Here is a 17410-nt window from a genome sequence, read left to right as displayed (position 1 = left end):
GTCCTGGCATATTATAACCAGAGATTAACTGGTCATGTGCAAGAAGGATAAAAATCATTTGCAATCCAATAATCCAATAGAAATAGGAAAACGATGTGAACCATCTGCTCATAGAATTCAAGTAGCTCTTTTTTCATGTGGAAAAGAATAAATTGTACTCACAATTTAAAAGATGAAAACTAGAATGAAATTCTACTTTTAAAGCCTATTTGCTCACCTTGGCAAATATTTTAAAAGTGCGATAAACCTAGTGTGAACAACGAGGGAAATGGGGAGCAGTCACTGATGAGCGTATCAATAGGTACCACCTTTGGTGGTCAATTGGCAAAATCTATAAAATTTTAAATGCAAATATTTTTCAAGGAGACAATTCCACTTCTAGGAATGTATTCTATAGACATGGTTGCACACGTACTCAAAGATATACACACAGATGTTCACTGCAGAATTGTTTGTCATAGCAAAAGACTGGAAACAACCGCCATATCCTTCCATCGTGGCCGATAGAATAATTACGGGGTGCTGGTATAACATACAGAACACCAGGCAGCCATCTAAAAGAATGCCGTACACCCACACATGCTGATGTGAGGTCATCTCCAAGATACATGATAAAGGGGGAGCTGAGGCGGCAGGGCAGATGACCCAGTTTGGGGATGGGGACGCATTTGAAAGGAGATAGCCATATACTTGTGTTCTGGAAGGAATCAAAAGAAAATATTAGCAGTGGCTGCCTGCTCTGAAAGGGGAAGAGGCTTCTGTACTGTTTGAATTTTCTACCATGTGCACTTACTATTTTTTCCATTTTTAGTTAACTAAAAAAAAAAAAGAAAGAAATAGCCATTTAAAGCAAGGTAGAGGGGAGGGAGATTCATGGTACTCTGAGCTCTGCTGTCACAAGGAAAGAGAGTCCACATCCCACCCAAGCACTGAGCAACAATGGAAAGTCAAACGCTGGAGGAGGAAGCAAGGCCAAAAAAATATTTTTTTAATAAAATAAAAAAATTTATGTAGATATAAAGAAAATGATAGCAACGCAACGATAAAGGCATTGGAGTAGCACTTTCCACCAGCATATTGCTAGTCAGAATGAGTGCAGCCCGGCGCGAGGACCACCCGTTTCCGTGACCACGACTGGACCCCTCCCCAGCCCACTATCCTTGGGGTCCGCTCGTTCGTGCCGTCCGAGCCGTCTGTGGGGGCGACCCAGGCCCGGGCGCCTAACTCCCGGCAGCGGGGCGGCAGTTCGCGCTTCCCCAAGGGTGGTGCAGGTCAGCCCCGCAGGCGGGCAAGATCCTAGCCCCGGGACGTGCTGTCGTGTGTGCAAACTTCGCTGCGGTCTGAAAGAGCTGTCGGTCGGTCGGGGCCCCGGAGGCCCCCGGCACGGCTGCAGTTGCGCCCGGGGCTGAACGCGGCGTTGGCTGCAGCGCGCTCCCAAGCCGCCCCGCCCCGGCCCACATTCCTAAGGCCACAGTGCGACCCAGCGGGCCGCGGGGAAACTGCGCCGGACCACGGCCCGCCACCGCCCGAGCCCTCACCTGCAGCCTTCCAGGAAATGTGGCCGCGGGAGCAGCTTCCCTCCTCCTTCCTAAATGGAGAGGGCTGATCTGTTTGCCAAGACAATGTCTAAACCTGACCCTTCCCTCACGCTGTAGAAGAAAATCGAAGTGCTGGAAAGTTCCGGTGGAGGGACTTGGAGGGATAAAATTCAGAATTCCAGACATCTTGTAATTTATGAAGTCAAGGAAGGTCCGTTTCTACCTGAAGAATGACTCTAATGATTTAATAAAATCTATAGACACTAGGCTTATAAGCAGGCTCGACCAAAATGCCACCTGCTTTGTGACGTTGGCCTCTGGCTAAGTGGAAATGTCCCCTGGCTCGCTGGCTTTCGCGGCCATTGTAACAGTCTCTCAGCTCTTACCACGTTCCCTGTGAATTGAATCTGCATGTCATTCCCTTTAGCAGAACCTACAAGCTCCATGAAGCAGAGATCCTATCTTCCTCATCTGTCTTAGGAATAGGCACCAAGACAGAAAGAAACCCTGCAGCAGTTAAGAACAGGAAAGAAAAAAGCAGCAAAGTCACAACAGCAACACTCACTCGCCAATTTTATTTGTCACTTAACAAGTTTATTGGGCTGGGCGCGGTGACTCACATCTAAAATCCCAGCACTTTGGGAGGCTGAGGCCGGTGGATCACCTGAAATCAGGCGTTCGAGAGCAGCCTGGCCAACATAGTGAAACCCTGTCTCTACTAAAAATACAAAAATTAGCCGGGTGTGGTGGTGCGCGCCTGTAATTCCAGCTACTCGCGAGGCTGAGGCACAGGAATCATTTGAACCCGGGAGGCGGAGGTTGCAGTGAGTCAAGATGGCACCACTGCACTCCAGCCTGGGTGACAAAGTAAGAATCTGTCTTAAAAAAAAAAAAAAGTTTATTGAACACCAAATAACCATATATTATGGTGAACCTTGATCCAGTAGACCAGCATTTTTCAATGGATGCCCTCTGCACTTCAGTTTCAGGCCATATTAATACCATATAACTTGAACATCAGGGCACCCTGAACATATGGTGAGCCCACGTGTTGCAAGAGAAAAGTTCCTCAAAAAAAAAAGTTGCGGTTTTAGGAATTCTTTTAGCCAACTTGAAAACATAAATGTTTAGGATATATATGAGTTAAATGTCAGTGTATAGGATTGGATTTATTCATTTGGTTACACATAAAAGCTTAAATCACACATGTGAAATAACACATTGATTTTGAAATAATGCTTTTTTTCTACTCTGACATGTTATGAAGCAATTTTATTTAAACTCTTACCTGAGTTTTTCAATATCTTAGTCAGAAGAAGAGACGTATCTTAGGGCATCTAACACAGTCATTTTTATTTACAAACAATATTTTTTGAACCCATGTGTGAGCTACCACCGGACATTTAATACTAAGCCATAATTTGATAAATTCAGAGTTTTAAAAAATGTATCCTATAGGTATAGATTTGTGATCTCTTCAACATATTCACTAACTGTATTGCTTTTTTGTCATTGCTGATTTACACCAGCACCCAGTCAATAGTCACATGGGGAGGTCAGGCCCTGCATCAATCAGTAAGGGTCTAGCTACAGAGAATAAGGGTCTAGCTCCTGGCTAGTTTGAGCAAGAGATTTGTAACAGGGTGTCATATAACTTCCAGAATCACCGAACTGGAGGTAGTAGGGGAGAGTTTGGCAAGAAACAGACTCTAGACTGAGCTTCTAGTAATAATTCCAAAGTCACATCAGATAATTGGCCAGAGAACAAAAAGCCCCAAGCCAAATCTGGCTCTGCTGCTATGGCGGCCCCGTGTGAAATGATGCCACCTCTGCTACAATCAAGAAGCTGCCGGCCAAGCTTGCTGCTGCTGCATATCATATCTGCTACCAATCACAAACAAAAATGAATGCCACCTTCCAAAGCCAAGATTTATATAAGCAAGTGCATCTGAATGTCAGAACCTAAAGTACATCCAAAATTCTTACTGCAAGAAGGTCTAGAAAAGATTGTTTTTAGCTTTCCGGATTCTTCAGTATAAGAAGACAGATTCTTTTTTATGTATATAAAAAAGTAGACACTGGATCTCACTATGTTGTCCAGGATGGTCTCAAACTCCTGGCCTCAAGCAATCCTCCCACCTTGGCCTCACAAAGTGCTGGGATAACAGGCATGAGCCACAGCACCTGGCCTAAGACAATAGAAGAAAGTTAGAATACATGGTGAGTAAGGTAGTCCACAGCAACTGCCTCATACTCCCAATAATAGTTACTAATTTTGTGCTAAATGTATTTTTCCCCCTCTTTTTTTTTAACCAATTCCATCAGATAACCTTTATCATCAACTAAAACTAGTATTGATTGGTTTCAGTATTGTGCTTTTTCCATACAATACCTTAGTCATTTAAAAGTAAGTAATCCAGAAAATGCTCTGAAATATGAGACCTCGGAAGCCCTTGAATATTAGGATACTCCATCTTTTCTGAGAGATAATTTGGAAGAAAAAAACCCTTGCCTCATATTTGAGCATACACAGTAGTTTTTCCTTGAAAAGTTGTTGTTGTTTTTTTTTAATATCTTTATGGGCAAGGGTATCCATTGTATAGGGCTGCCTAACAAATTGCCTTAAAATGGATGGTTTAAAACAACAGAAATGTATTCCCTCAAAGTTCTGGAGGCCAGAAGTCTGAAATCAAGGTATCAGTAGGGCTCATTTCCTTCTAGGGGCCTGGCCTTCCAGCTTCTGGTGGCTAATATTTTATGGCTTCCTTGGCTTGTGGCCACACCATTCCAACCTCAGCCTCTGCCTTACTGTCTCTCTCTTCTGTGTCTGTCTTCTCCTCTTCTGTCTCAAATCTACCCCTGCCTTTCTCTTATATGAACACTTATCACTGGACTTAAAGCCCACTTGAATAATACAGGATGATCTCAAGATCCTTAACTTAATTACATATGCAAAGAATCTTTTACCAAATAAGGTAACAGCCACAGGTTCCAGGGATTTGACATGGGTGTTCTGAGGGGACCACCATTCAACCCACTACAGCAAGGAAGTTTAGGAAATGCTGGACTAAACAAATTAAATTGGTTTCTTTTCTACAGGATTTTGCAAAGCCTGTAACGTCCTAAATGTGCATTGTGAATCTCCAAGAGTGAGATACACTATACAGTGATTTTCAAAATTATTCAACCATGAAATCCTATTTGCAGAAGCAATATTCCACAGAACACACTCTGGCACAAACTTATAATTTACCTGCTGGGCAAGTCCTCAGAAAGAATGTCAATAAGTATCAGAGAAGCCAAAAATAAGTGACTAAACAGTTGAAGGTTCTCAAGGATTTGGCAAGAGTAACTATTCTAAGCCACAACCATGCAACACTGCTAAAGATAATCACAGCCATAAAGTCATAACATGAAGTAAAATATTTATGTCCAGTTACTACACTGCTTCCTGTATTTGTCCATTTTCAAGCTGCTGATAAAGACATACCCGAGACTGGGAAGAAAAGGAGGTTTAATAGGACTTACAGTTCCACATGACTGAGGAGGCCTCAGAATCATGGTGGGAGGTGAAACGCACTTCTTGCATGGCAGCGGCAAGACAAAAATGAGGAAGAAGCAAAAGCAGAAATCCCTGATATACCCAGCAGATTTCATGAGACTTATTCACTATCATGAGAATAGCATGGGGAAGACTGGCCCCCATGATTCAATTACCTCCCCCTGGGTCCCTCCCACAACATATGGGAATTCTGGGAGATACAATTCAAGTTGAGATTTGGGTGGGGACACAGCCAAACCATATCATTCCACCCCTGGCCCCTCTAAATCTCATATCCTCACATTTTAAAACCAATCATGTCTTCCCAACAGTCTCCCAAAGTCTTAATTCATTTCAGCATTAACCCAAAAGTCCACAGTCCAAAGTCTCATCTGAGACAAGGCAAGTCCCTTGCGCCTATGAGCCTGTAAAATCAAAAGCAAGCTAGTTACTTCCTAGATACAATGGGGGTACAGGTATTGGGTAAATACAGCCATTCCAAAATAGAAATTGGCCAAAACAAAGGTGTTACAGGGCCTATGCAAGTCTGAAATCCAGTGGGGTAGTCAAATTTTAAAGCTCCAAAATGATCTCCTTTGACTCCAGGTCTCACATCCAGGTCACGCTGATGCAAGAGGTGGGTTCCCATGGTCTTGGGCACCTCTGTCCCTGTGGCATTGCAGGATACAGCCTCTCTCCCAACTGCTTTCACGGGCTAGCATTGAGTGTCTGCAGCTTTTTCAGGTGCACGGTGCAAGCTGTCTGTGGATCTACCATTCTGGGTTCTGGAGGATGGTGGACCTCTTCAGCTCCAATAGGCAGTGCCCCAGTAGGGACTCTGTGTGGAGGTTCCAACCCCACATTTCCCTTCCACACTGCCCTAGCAGAGGTTCTCCATGAGGGCCTCACCCCTGCAGCAAACTTTTGCCTGGACAGCCAGGCATTTCCATACATCTTCTGAAATCTAGGTGGAGGTTCCCAAACCTCAATTCTTGACTTCTGTGTACCCACAGACTCAACACCACATGGAAGCTGCCAAGGCTTGGGGCTTCCACCCTCTGAAGCCACAGCATGAGCTCTACATTGGCCCCTTTCAGCCATGGCTGGAGCAGCTGGGACACAGGGCACCAAGTCTATAGGCTGCACACAGCACAGGGACCCTGGGCCCGGCCTATGAAACCATTTTTTTTTTACCTCCTGGGCCTCCAGACCTGTGATGGGAGGGACTGCCGTGAAGGTCTCAGCCTGGAGACATTTTCCCCGTGGTCTTGGGGATTAACATCAGGCTCCCTGCTACTTGTGCAAATTTCTGCCACAGGCTTGAATTTCTCCCCAGAAAATGGGTTTTTCTTTTCTATCACATAGTCAGGCTGCAAATTTTCCAAACTTTTATGCTCTGCTTCCCTTATAAAACTGAATGTCTTTAACAGTACCCAACTCACCTCTTGAATGCTTTGCTGCTTAGAAATGGCTTCTGCCAGATACCCTAAATCATCTTTCTCAAGTTCAAAGTTCCACAAATCTCTAGGGCGGGGCAAATGCTGCCAGTCTCTTTGCTAAAACATAACAAGAGTCACCTTTACTCCAGCTCCCAACAAGTTCCTCATCTCCATCTGAGAACACCTCATCCTGGACCTTATTGTCCATATCGCTATCAGCATTTTGGGCAAAGACATTCATTCAGCAAGTCTCTAGGAAGTTCCAAACTTTCCAACATTTTCCTGTCTTTTTCTGAGTCCTCAAAACTGTTCCAACCTTTGCCTGTTACCCAGTTCCAAAGTCACTTCCACATTTTCAGGTATCTTTTCAGCAACACCCCACTCTACCGGTACTAATTTACTGTATTATTCCACTTTCACATTACTGATAAAGACATATCTGGGACTGGGAAGAAAAAGAGGTTGAATTGGACTTACAGTTCCACATGACTGGGGAAGCCTCAGAATCATGGCGGGAGGCGAAAGGCACTTCTTTTTTTTTTTTTTTTTTTTTTTTTCATTTAATTAGTTTTAAAATTTATTCTCTACTCACAAAGAAGCATAAATAAAGATTTCACTCTTATATAAAGACCTGACAATACATACAATGGTCCTCTGCTGATTTGGAAGCAAGGACAGTTTTCTATGAGTCTGTTCTTTATAACGTATAACTGTTGTGGGAAAAAAGAAAATCCACTTCTTATTGTAATTATTTTTCTTGTTTGAGGTTTCTTTTCCACGATGACCCAACCACAAGTTTGGGAACATTGCTTCTGAGGCCCATTCTCTGATGAGAAAGTTCAGTCCCAACTGGGGAAAGTAACTGAGTCCCAGCCTTTTCAGCCTAACATTATACCTAATATCTAGAGTAAGAAATCAGGCTGAGCATGGTGGTACACGCCTGCAATCCCAGCTACTCGGGAGGCTGAGGCAGGAGAATCACTTGAACCCGGGTGGGAGAGACTGCAGTGAGCAGAGATCATGCCAGTCACTCTAGCCTGGGCAACAGAGCGAGACTCTGCCCCAAAAAATAAATAAATAAAATAAAAAAATAAAAATCAAACATCCAAGTATCCACCTTGGGTTGCAGGAAGAGTTAATCTTAATGCGTTTACAAAAATGTAACTATATAATGTTAAAAACCATAAAGTCAGATGGCACTGCTTGAGGCATTTTTGCTTCTTTTTCTTAAGGAAAAGGAGTTATATGGAAAATTCTCTCATCCTCCCCTCTCTGCCCCTGACTCCTCTATGTCCAAAGTTTTTTTTTTTTTTTTTTTTTTTTTCTGAGACGGAGTCTCACTCTGTCACCCAGCCTGGAGTGCAGTGGTGCAATCTCAGTTCACTGCAACCTCCGCCCCCCGGGTTCAAGAAACTCTCCTGCCTCAGCCTCCCGAGCAGCCGGGGCCACAGGCATGCACCACCACGCCCGGCTAATTTTCTATTTTTAGTAGAGATGGGGTTTCTCCATGTCGGTCAGGCTGGTCTCAAACTCCCAACCTCAGGTGACTCACCTCCCTCAGCCTCCCAAAGTGTTGGGACTACAGGCGTGAGCCACCGCACCCGGCCTAGGTTTTTGTTTAAAATTGGGCCTTTGTTCCTATTCAGTAAATCTGTGTCACAGGATGAGCCAGGATTTAAATATACAAATATAAATGTTTAGTATCTTTCACGTCAAATTAGAAACATATATTTGGAATTTACTGCTGCAGTCTCAACTGTGCTTATCGTGGTAGTGGCTGAAACTGGAAGACATTTTTTTTAAACCCTGAAGTCATCCATACTTGCTACTTCTTTAGTCTTCTTGCTTGGAATGAAAAGTATTCACAAATACCACCACCTAAGCACCTGTTTCAAATGAAACTCAGCCTTCAGCTTGCAAAATGATGTCTTTATAATTAAGTAAACAACAGAAGACCCATGCAAGTTGCTTCTTTCTTCCTGGAGATGTTAGGAGGATAACTGGAATCCTAGGAGCTCCTCTGTGTTGAATTTGAGAGGCAGAACAAAAAGGAAAGTGGCCTTTCCATTCCAAATCATGGAGGTAACGTGTAGAGAAGTGATAGCCACATTTCAAGAATAGGGAAGGTAACTGGGTAAAAGAAGCAGGACTACCCACTCTAGGAGACAGCATAGAGACACTTGCCAAGTCCTGAGTTCAGAATTTTGCTTTTGAGATGAATATAAAAGCACCTAAAGGTCAAGGAAAATTTTCTTCCTGTGATAAGGAACACAAAGCCTGTTTGGTGGTCTCTTCATACGGACACACATGACACTTTGCTTTAGCGTAGATGAGTACTGCCCACTGTAAGGTAGGGACGAAGACTGTTCGGTTAGTTCCTTTCCTCTGGCCGATCCCTGTTTTTTCTTCTCCTCGCACAGTCCAACAGATGCACTCGGCCTCCCGGGGGCTGCCCACCCCCAGCCCAGAGGCCAGTTTACAGCAGCACACCTTACTCCGCCATCTTCGCAGCTTCTCAAGAAAGGCACTTCTTACATGGTGGTGGCAAGAGAAGCAAAAGCAGAAACCCCTGATATGCCCATCAGATCTCATAAGACTTATTCACTGTCATGAGAATAGCATGGGAAAGATCGGGCTTCATGATTAAATTACCTTCCCTTGGGTCCCTCCCACAACACATGGGAATTCTGGGAGATACAATTCAAGTTGAGATTGGGGTGGGGACACAACCAAACCATATTACCTCCCATCAGGTTCTATTCTGGTTCAGGATAATGTACAAACTCCCAATCCTTTACAATCTTTTACCTCAATCTTCTCACCCATTCCTATCCTACGTTTATCCTTGCTCCAGCCAAACTCACATACACATTGAATTTCCTACTGCCATTCCATGAAAAATGCCTTCTCCCTACAGCTCCCCTATTAATAGCTGAGGTTCATTTCAGTGGATACCTCCTAAATAAAACCTGCTTTGTCACCCCAGCCAGAAAGGCCCTTTCCCTTTGCATTCGGCAGAGGACGCTTGTGAAGTATCTTATTTTAGAGTTCTTTGCATATAGATACTATTTTTATTACTGGCCAGCAAGCACCAGCAAATAAGGATCATGACTTAGATCTCTTTATATCCTCCAAGTGATCTAGGACACTGATTTTCATAGAATAAATGCTCAAAAGAAATGTGTTAATTGACTAAACAAGAAAATTAATCTTGGACACCAAGCGCAGTGGCTTACGGCTATAATCCCAGCACTTTGGGAGGCTGAGGCGGGCAGATCACCTGAGGCCAGGAGTTCCAGACCAGCCTGGCCAACGTGGCAAAACCCTGTCTCTACTAAAAAATTAATACAAAAATTAGCCTGGCATAGTGATACGCACCTGTAATCCCAGCTACCCGGGAGGTTGAGGCAGGAGAATCACTTGAACCCAGGGGGCGGAGGCTGCAGTGAGCCAAGATCACACCATTGCACTCCAGCCTGGGCAACAAGAGCAAAACTCCGTCTCAAAAAAGAAAAGAAAATCTTGGGAACTATGTATGCAGATGTAAAAGTGCCATCTAAGGCTCCTCCCCTTCCCATTTCCCAAATGAGAGTAGACTGGGCTATTCAAGGTTGGAGATGTATCCAATTAGCAGTGACGAATGGCAAACTCAGAACGGTGACAGCATTGAGGACCTTGGGTAGCCAGAGTCAGAGTCATGTGTTCTCTATCTTAATGATTTAAAACAACATCCCCAAAAGAATTGAAAACAGGTTGAATCAGCCTTCTATATGCATATATACAGAACCCTTGGATACAGAGGGCCAACCACACTATGCCATTTTATTTAAAAGACTTGAACATATGTAGATTTGGTATCTGCAGGGAGTATGGAATCTGGTATCTGTGGGGGTTCTAGAACCAATCTCCCACAGATACTAAGTGCTCAAATACACATATACATGTACATGCATGTTAATAGCAGCACTATTCACCCATAGCCAAAAAATGAAAACAACCCAAATGTCCATCAACAGATGAATGGATAAACAAATTGTGACATATACATAAAATAGAGTATTACGTAGCCATAAAAAGGAGTGAAGTACCAATCATGCTACAAAGTGGATGAACTTCAAAAATACTACACTAAATGAAAGAAGCCAGACACAAAAAGTCACATATTTTATGATTTCATTTATATGAAATATCTAGAATAAGTAAATCTAGAACACAGATTGATGGTTGCTGCTGATGGCAGTGGCGGGCCATCTGGAGTGGCCCCTGCCATCACGCTGGCTGTGGCAGAGGGGTCGGGCTTAGGTGGTAGCAGCGGGAGCAGCAGTGGCAGTGGTGGGACCCCCTGTGCCCCGCATCCCCTGTGTCCCACATCCCCAAAGCAGCCAACTACACCACCTCCACTCTCACATGGCCAGGCCAGACGTGTTCCCAGGCCCAGACCCTCCACTGCTCCAGAACCTGGCCCTGCATCACTGCTGCAGGGAGGGTGTGGGGAGGAGGCAGACAGTACCCAGAGCCTGCCCCTGGGGCCCCCCAGGAGACCGCCACCCTGGGAGCCACTGCGATGGGGCCAGGCTGAGTTGCCTACCAGCAGGGGAGCAGCACAGTCTGGCACAGAGAGGCGGGCAGAGAGGGGCCCCAAGGCAGACCTGGACCCAGGGCGGTGCTGCACCCCATGGAGCAGGCAGGAGCAGGCAGGAGTCTCACACTCCTAGGCATGGCTGTGGCCACCCAGGTTGTGACTGTGGACCCAGGCATCTGTGCACTCTCAGGGGGGCCCAGGAAGGCCTCCCTTTCCCCCACAGGCTCAGAGGTGTCTACTCCCACTGCCTGGCCTCTCTCCACTGTGGGCACTGACCCTGATCACAGAGTGGAGTACAGGCCAAGCTAGGCACTATTACAGCCTGGCCAGGTGTGCATACGCTCAGGGCAGTGCTGACACGCCAGCCCCCTGCCACCTCAGCCCCCTCCGGACTTTGGGCACTGACAAGCACAGGAGGGAGGCCAAAGGGGAGCTGAGGACAGCCCAGCACCGGACTGCAGGTGCTCCTTGACATGAACAGCCTGTGCTCCATGAATAGCGGCAGGAGGCAGGCAGGCTCCTGGGAGGAAAGGGGCTGGTCCCCAGTAAAGCCCCACCTTCAGATCAGGGAGGACCTGAAGCCTGGGGGCTGTCAGCCAGCCCCATGGACCAGAGGGGGATCTCGTGGTGTTTTTCCCTGGGCCTGCCCATGGCTGCTCATGGACCAATCAGCATGCATTTCCTCCCCTCTGAGGCCCATAAAAACCCCCAGACTCAGAGCGACTCAAGCAGAAGATGGAGACAGGAGGGAGAGAGGATGGAGAGATGACAGGGAGACAACAGAAAGCAATGGAACAACCAGCTGCGGAGAGAAACTATCCTTTCTGCTGAGACTGAAGAGAGGACAGGACACCCTGGCTACGGAGAGGAGCTGCCCAGGAGAGGAGCTGCCCACTGCGAGTCTCCTCTGAGCTGTTCTATTCTCAATAAAGCTCCTCTTTGCCTTGCTCACCCTCCACTTGTCTGCATACCTCATTCTTACTGGACACAGGACAAAAACCCAGGATCCGCTGAATGGCGAGGCTAAAAGAGCTGTAATACAAACAGGGCTAAAACACACCCATTGCTCACCACGTTGTGGGGAGCAAGGAGGAAAGAAGAGAGAAGGAGAGAAGCACTGCAGCCCTCAGTGGGGTGGGACAGACCTGGGAGCTCCCCAAGCCAGGGCTGTGACTCCCCTTTTGGGGCCCTGCAGTTCCTGGAGTCTCCAAGCTTCAAGGCACCACTGTGTTCCTCAGTGCCAGCTATGAAAGCTGCTTGTGGTGCCCTTAGTCCAGCTGCAGCCTCACAGTGAGCTGGCACCTGTGCCGGCACCTGGAGCTGCCTGTCCCACTGCAGCAGCCAGCCTGCCTGACTGTGCATAGTGGCCAAACCCCATGCTTGCTCACTCACACCTTTCGCTGCTCCACTCCAGTCTCTTTGGAGGCATGGGATCCAGGCCAGTAATGCAAGCTGAGCACAGCCTGCTGAACGCAGCCTTCCAGGACAAGTGAGCTTATTAGGCCCAAGCAAAACTCAGGCAAAGGTGCCACTGGCCACAGAGGTTTCCAGCCAGAAAAGCAACACCCCCCCACGCCACACACACCAAGGATCCCACAACACTGGGAGGAGGGGGACATGGGAAGCAACTGCTTAATGAGTATGAGGTTTCCTTTTGGAGTGATGAAAATATTTTGGAATTAGATAGAGTTGGTGGTTGCACATTTTGCTAAATGTCACTGAATTGTTCAATTTAAAGTTGTTAATTTTGTTGTGTGAAGTTCACTTCAGTCTTTAAAAAACAGTACAGCAATATGAGGAAACCTGGTATTAAAGTATAAGTGATATCCAGAAAACTTGTTACAGAATAATTTTAAAAATATATCACTCATTGTATAGCCATATCAATCCTGAGAAAGAAGAACAAAGCTGAAGGCATCATGCTTCCTGATTTCAAAATACGTTATGAAGCTACAGTAATCAAAACAGTATGGTACTGGCATGAAGACAGACATATACTCAATGGCACAAAAAAGAGAGCCCAGAAATAAATCCACATATATCAGTCAGTTGATCTTCAATAAGGGTGCCAAGAATACACAATGGGGAAAGGATAATCTCTTCAATAAATGGTGTGGGGAAAATTGGATATCCACAGACAAAAAAATGAAATTGGATCCTTATATCATACACAAAAATCAACTCAAAATGACTTAAAGACTTAAATTTAAGACCTGAAACTATAAAACTCCCAGAAGAAAACATGGGGAAAAACTTCATGACATTGGTGTTAGCAAAGATTTTATTTATATATATTCATATAATATATTCATAAAATCATAAAATATTTATATTCATATTTATATTAGGAATATAAAATATTTTATGAATATACCCCAAAAGCACAGGTAACAAAACCAAAAATAAACAAGTGGGATTACACTGCCTAAAAAGCTTCTGCACTGCAAAGAAAAAAAATCATTGGAATGAAAAGACAACCTATGCAATGGTAAATAACATTTGCAAGCAATATTACTGATAAGGGGTTAATCTTCAAAATATATAAGGAACCCCTACAACTCAATAACACAAAAAGTAATTATGCAATTTAAAAATAGGCTAAGAACTTGAATAGACAGTTCTCCAAAGAAGATATACAAATGACCAACAGGCATATGAAAAAATGCTCATTGTCACTGAGGGCTGGGGTGCATGAGTAAGACCATGAGTAGAGTAATGGGGGCCAGATTTGAGCTGGGGTGAGGCCAGTGTCTAGGTCACAAAATAATCAAGGAAATGCCAATCAAAACCACAATGAGGTATCACATCACACCTATCAGAATGGCCATTATTAAAAAAAAAAAAAAGACAACTGTTGGCAAGGGTGTGGAGAAATTGGAATCCTTGAACACTGTTCATGAAAATGAAAAATGATGTAGCCACTGCTGAGGTGGTAGGATCCCTTGAGCCCAGGAGTTCGAGGCTAGCCTGGGCAATATAGCAAGAACTCATCTCTAAATAAATAAATAAAATGGTGCAGCCACTATGGAAAACAGTATGGAGGTTTCTCAAAAATCTAGAAATAGAATTACCAGATGATCCAGCAATCCATTTCTGGGTATATATCTGAAAAAAATGAGATCAGAATCTCAAAGACATATTAGCACTCTTATGTTCATTACAGCACTAGTCACAACAGCCAACAACCAAACCACCTTAATGTTCATCAACAGATGAGTGGATAAAGAAAATGTGGTATATATGAGCAATGTGATACTATTCAGCTTCAAAAAAGAGAAGAATCCCGCAATGTGTGACAACCGGATGAACTTTGTCATTATGCTAAGTGAAATAAGCCAGACACAGAAAGAAAAATATTGCAGGATCCCACTTAGATGAGATAATCTAAAATAGTCAAATTTGTTAGATAAAAGACTAGAATGGTAGTTACCAGGGGCTGTAGGGAAGGGAAAATGGGGATGTATTAATCAATAGGCAAAAAGTTCAGTTAAGTAAGATGAATAAGCTCTGGAGATCTGCTATACTACATTGTACCTATAACCAACAATAATGCGTTACACATTTCTTAAACATGTGTTAAGAGGATAGATCTCACGTTAAAAGTTCTTACCAAAATAAAATTATATATATATGTTATTATAACTATTATTTTATCTATGGTAATATGTCATAAAAGCTAAGAACTGTATCTGAGACTAGTCTGCAGCTATTATTTTAAGCATTATCTATCAAAAACTTTCACCTAAAAAAACTTTTACAAAAGCAACAACAAAACTAAATGCACTCTTGTAAACTGACCTCAATGTGCCAGTGTGGGCCTCCACTTCAGGCTTCAAAAGCAAAGTATACTAGGATGTCAGCTCCATGAGAACACAGCCCTTGTCTGTCTTGTTCCCCATATATCTTCAGTGCCCCCAAACAGTGCCTGGTGCACAGTAATAATTGTTTATTGAGTTTCCCTGAGAGATCTGGATGCTGTAACCCAGGAAACAAGCAGTTACCCCAGTCAGAGTGAGGCTCTTGGGTTCAGGCACATGGGCTGGGATGAAAGAGACAGGGGAGGCAGTGGCCTACACTAGCTAAGACTTTCACACTAGCACATCCAAGAGGCACCACTCCATCAGCTTCAGGGCTTGGCAGATGAGAGGTCCCAAAGGAAGACACACAGTTGAGCCTTCCCCATGTCTGTCTGTCCTGGGCATACCCCTTTCCTGACCACAGGGAGCTACACACCTGCCCATCCTCTTGCCATACTGTTATTTATGGGCTATTTATCCATCTCTGGCTACAAGCTCTGCTTCCCCCATAATCACCAAATTTGGCAACTGGCCTTTGGACTGGTGCCTCAAGCCACTCCCACCTCCGGTTTCAGGAGAACCCCTTTGACTTAATGACCTAGACAGTGGCCTCACCCAGCTCAAATCTGTCCCCATTACTCCATTCCTGTCTTACTCACAGACCCTCAGCCCTCAGATACCCCTCGCCTGGAGTAATCACACCAAAAGGTATGCACATCACTCAGTCCCCATCCATTTGTGCCACAGAGCAAAACAAAATAATATTCAGCCTTATTATCAAAGAGGTACAAGTCAAAAATGTAGTATTAGGTAAAGAGCCAGAATGGAGCGTGAGGTCATACAGTTTGAATCTAGCTGAATGGGTGACAGATAATGATCTTTCTGTTCTTCAGACAGGCATCCTGCTCCCCGTTTTCTTCTTCTAAATTCCCCTCTATTCCCTCTCTCAGTCATCCCTAAATCTCTTATCTCCTGCTGTCCTTTCAATATGTCTCCCAGTGTCTTCCATACCTCTTCTATTTCTCTTTTATCCTTATCTAACCAGTATAGAAAACTGATTACAATAAGTAGTGTAAATATTTCTTATGTATGACACTTTTTTTCATCCAATTTGGAATTATAAGGAGAGCATTTGTCAGGATTTAAAGGACAGACTTTCTACAAAATTCATGTTTCCATACTCCAGTTAAACTCTTCTCGAATGTCTAACTCCTGAATTATGGTGTCTATTATGGGTTGGATTTTATCCCCTAAAGAAATATGTTGAAATCCTGACCCCAGTACCTGTGAAAGTGACATTATTGGAAATACGGTCTGTGCAGGTGTAATCATGCTTTACAATGAGTTCATAATGGAATAGGCTGAGTCCTTAATATAATATGACTGGTATCCTCATAAGAGAGGAGAAGCACAGGGACACAGACACACAGGAAGAAGACAGCCATGTGACAATGGCAGCAGAGATTAGAGTGATGCATTTCCAAGTCAGAGAATGCCAAGCATTGCCAGCAAACACCAGAAACTAGAAGGGGCTAGGAAGGATTCTCCACTGCAGGTTTTAGAGGGTGCTAACACCTTGATTTTGGACTCTAGCCTCCAGAACTGTGAGATAATAAAATTCTGTTATTTTAAGCCACCCAATTTGTGGCTTTTTGTTACAGCAGCCCTAAGAAAGTGTCCCTCAGACACTTCTTTTATTTTTTATTTTTTATTTTTTTTGAGATGAAGTCTTGCTCTTGCCACCCAGGCTGGAGGGCAATGGCACAATCTCGGCTCACTGCAACCTCCGCCTCCCAGGTTCAAGCAATTCTCCTGCCTCAGCCTCCTGAGTAGCTGGGATTACAGGCATCTGCCACCATGCCCGGCTAATTTTTGTATTTTTAGTAGAAATGGGGTTTTGTATTTTTAGTAGAAATGGGGTTCCGCCATGTTGGCCGGGCTGGTCTCCAGCTCCTGATTTTGTGATCTGCCCACCTCAGCCCCCCAGAGTGCTAGGATTACAGGTGTAAGCCACCATGCCCGGCCCCTCAGACACTTCTTTAAAAAAAAAATTCTTGGGGCTTCTTTGAGAATTCTTATTATTGACCTTGGTTATTCATTCCTGATTTATCTAATTCTGAGATCAGAGAAGTTGATTATTTATATATCTCAGAAAAAACATGTAACTACAATTTATCGTTAAGTTGATTTTATTTTAACGTGAATGTCCCCCAGTAGCAATGCACTAGCACCTGAGCCATGGTTTATAAATGTCAGTCCCCCTAAGAATCCTTTGATGAAATCCTCATTCCAGGTCTGGAATGGAGAAAAAGTGAGCCTGGGACATTTTGTTGGACCAGAAAGCAATGAAGTGCTCAAAGACCAACCAAGACATGTCAAAAAATTACAGGAACCAGCTTGAAAGAGCTCCTGCTACCCTAACTTGGAAGAACTGGAGCAGCAAATAGAATAAAAGAACAATGATAGTAATGGATGATAACACAATGAATTGCCTAAAAAAATCCACAGTCCAT

Source organism: Homo sapiens, chromosome 2 (assembly GCF_000001405.40).
Source record: "Homo sapiens chromosome 2, GRCh38.p14 Primary Assembly".
Classification (NCBI taxonomy): Eukaryota; Metazoa; Chordata; class Mammalia; order Primates; family Hominidae; genus Homo; species Homo sapiens.
Note: the sequence above shows the minus strand (reverse complement) of the source record.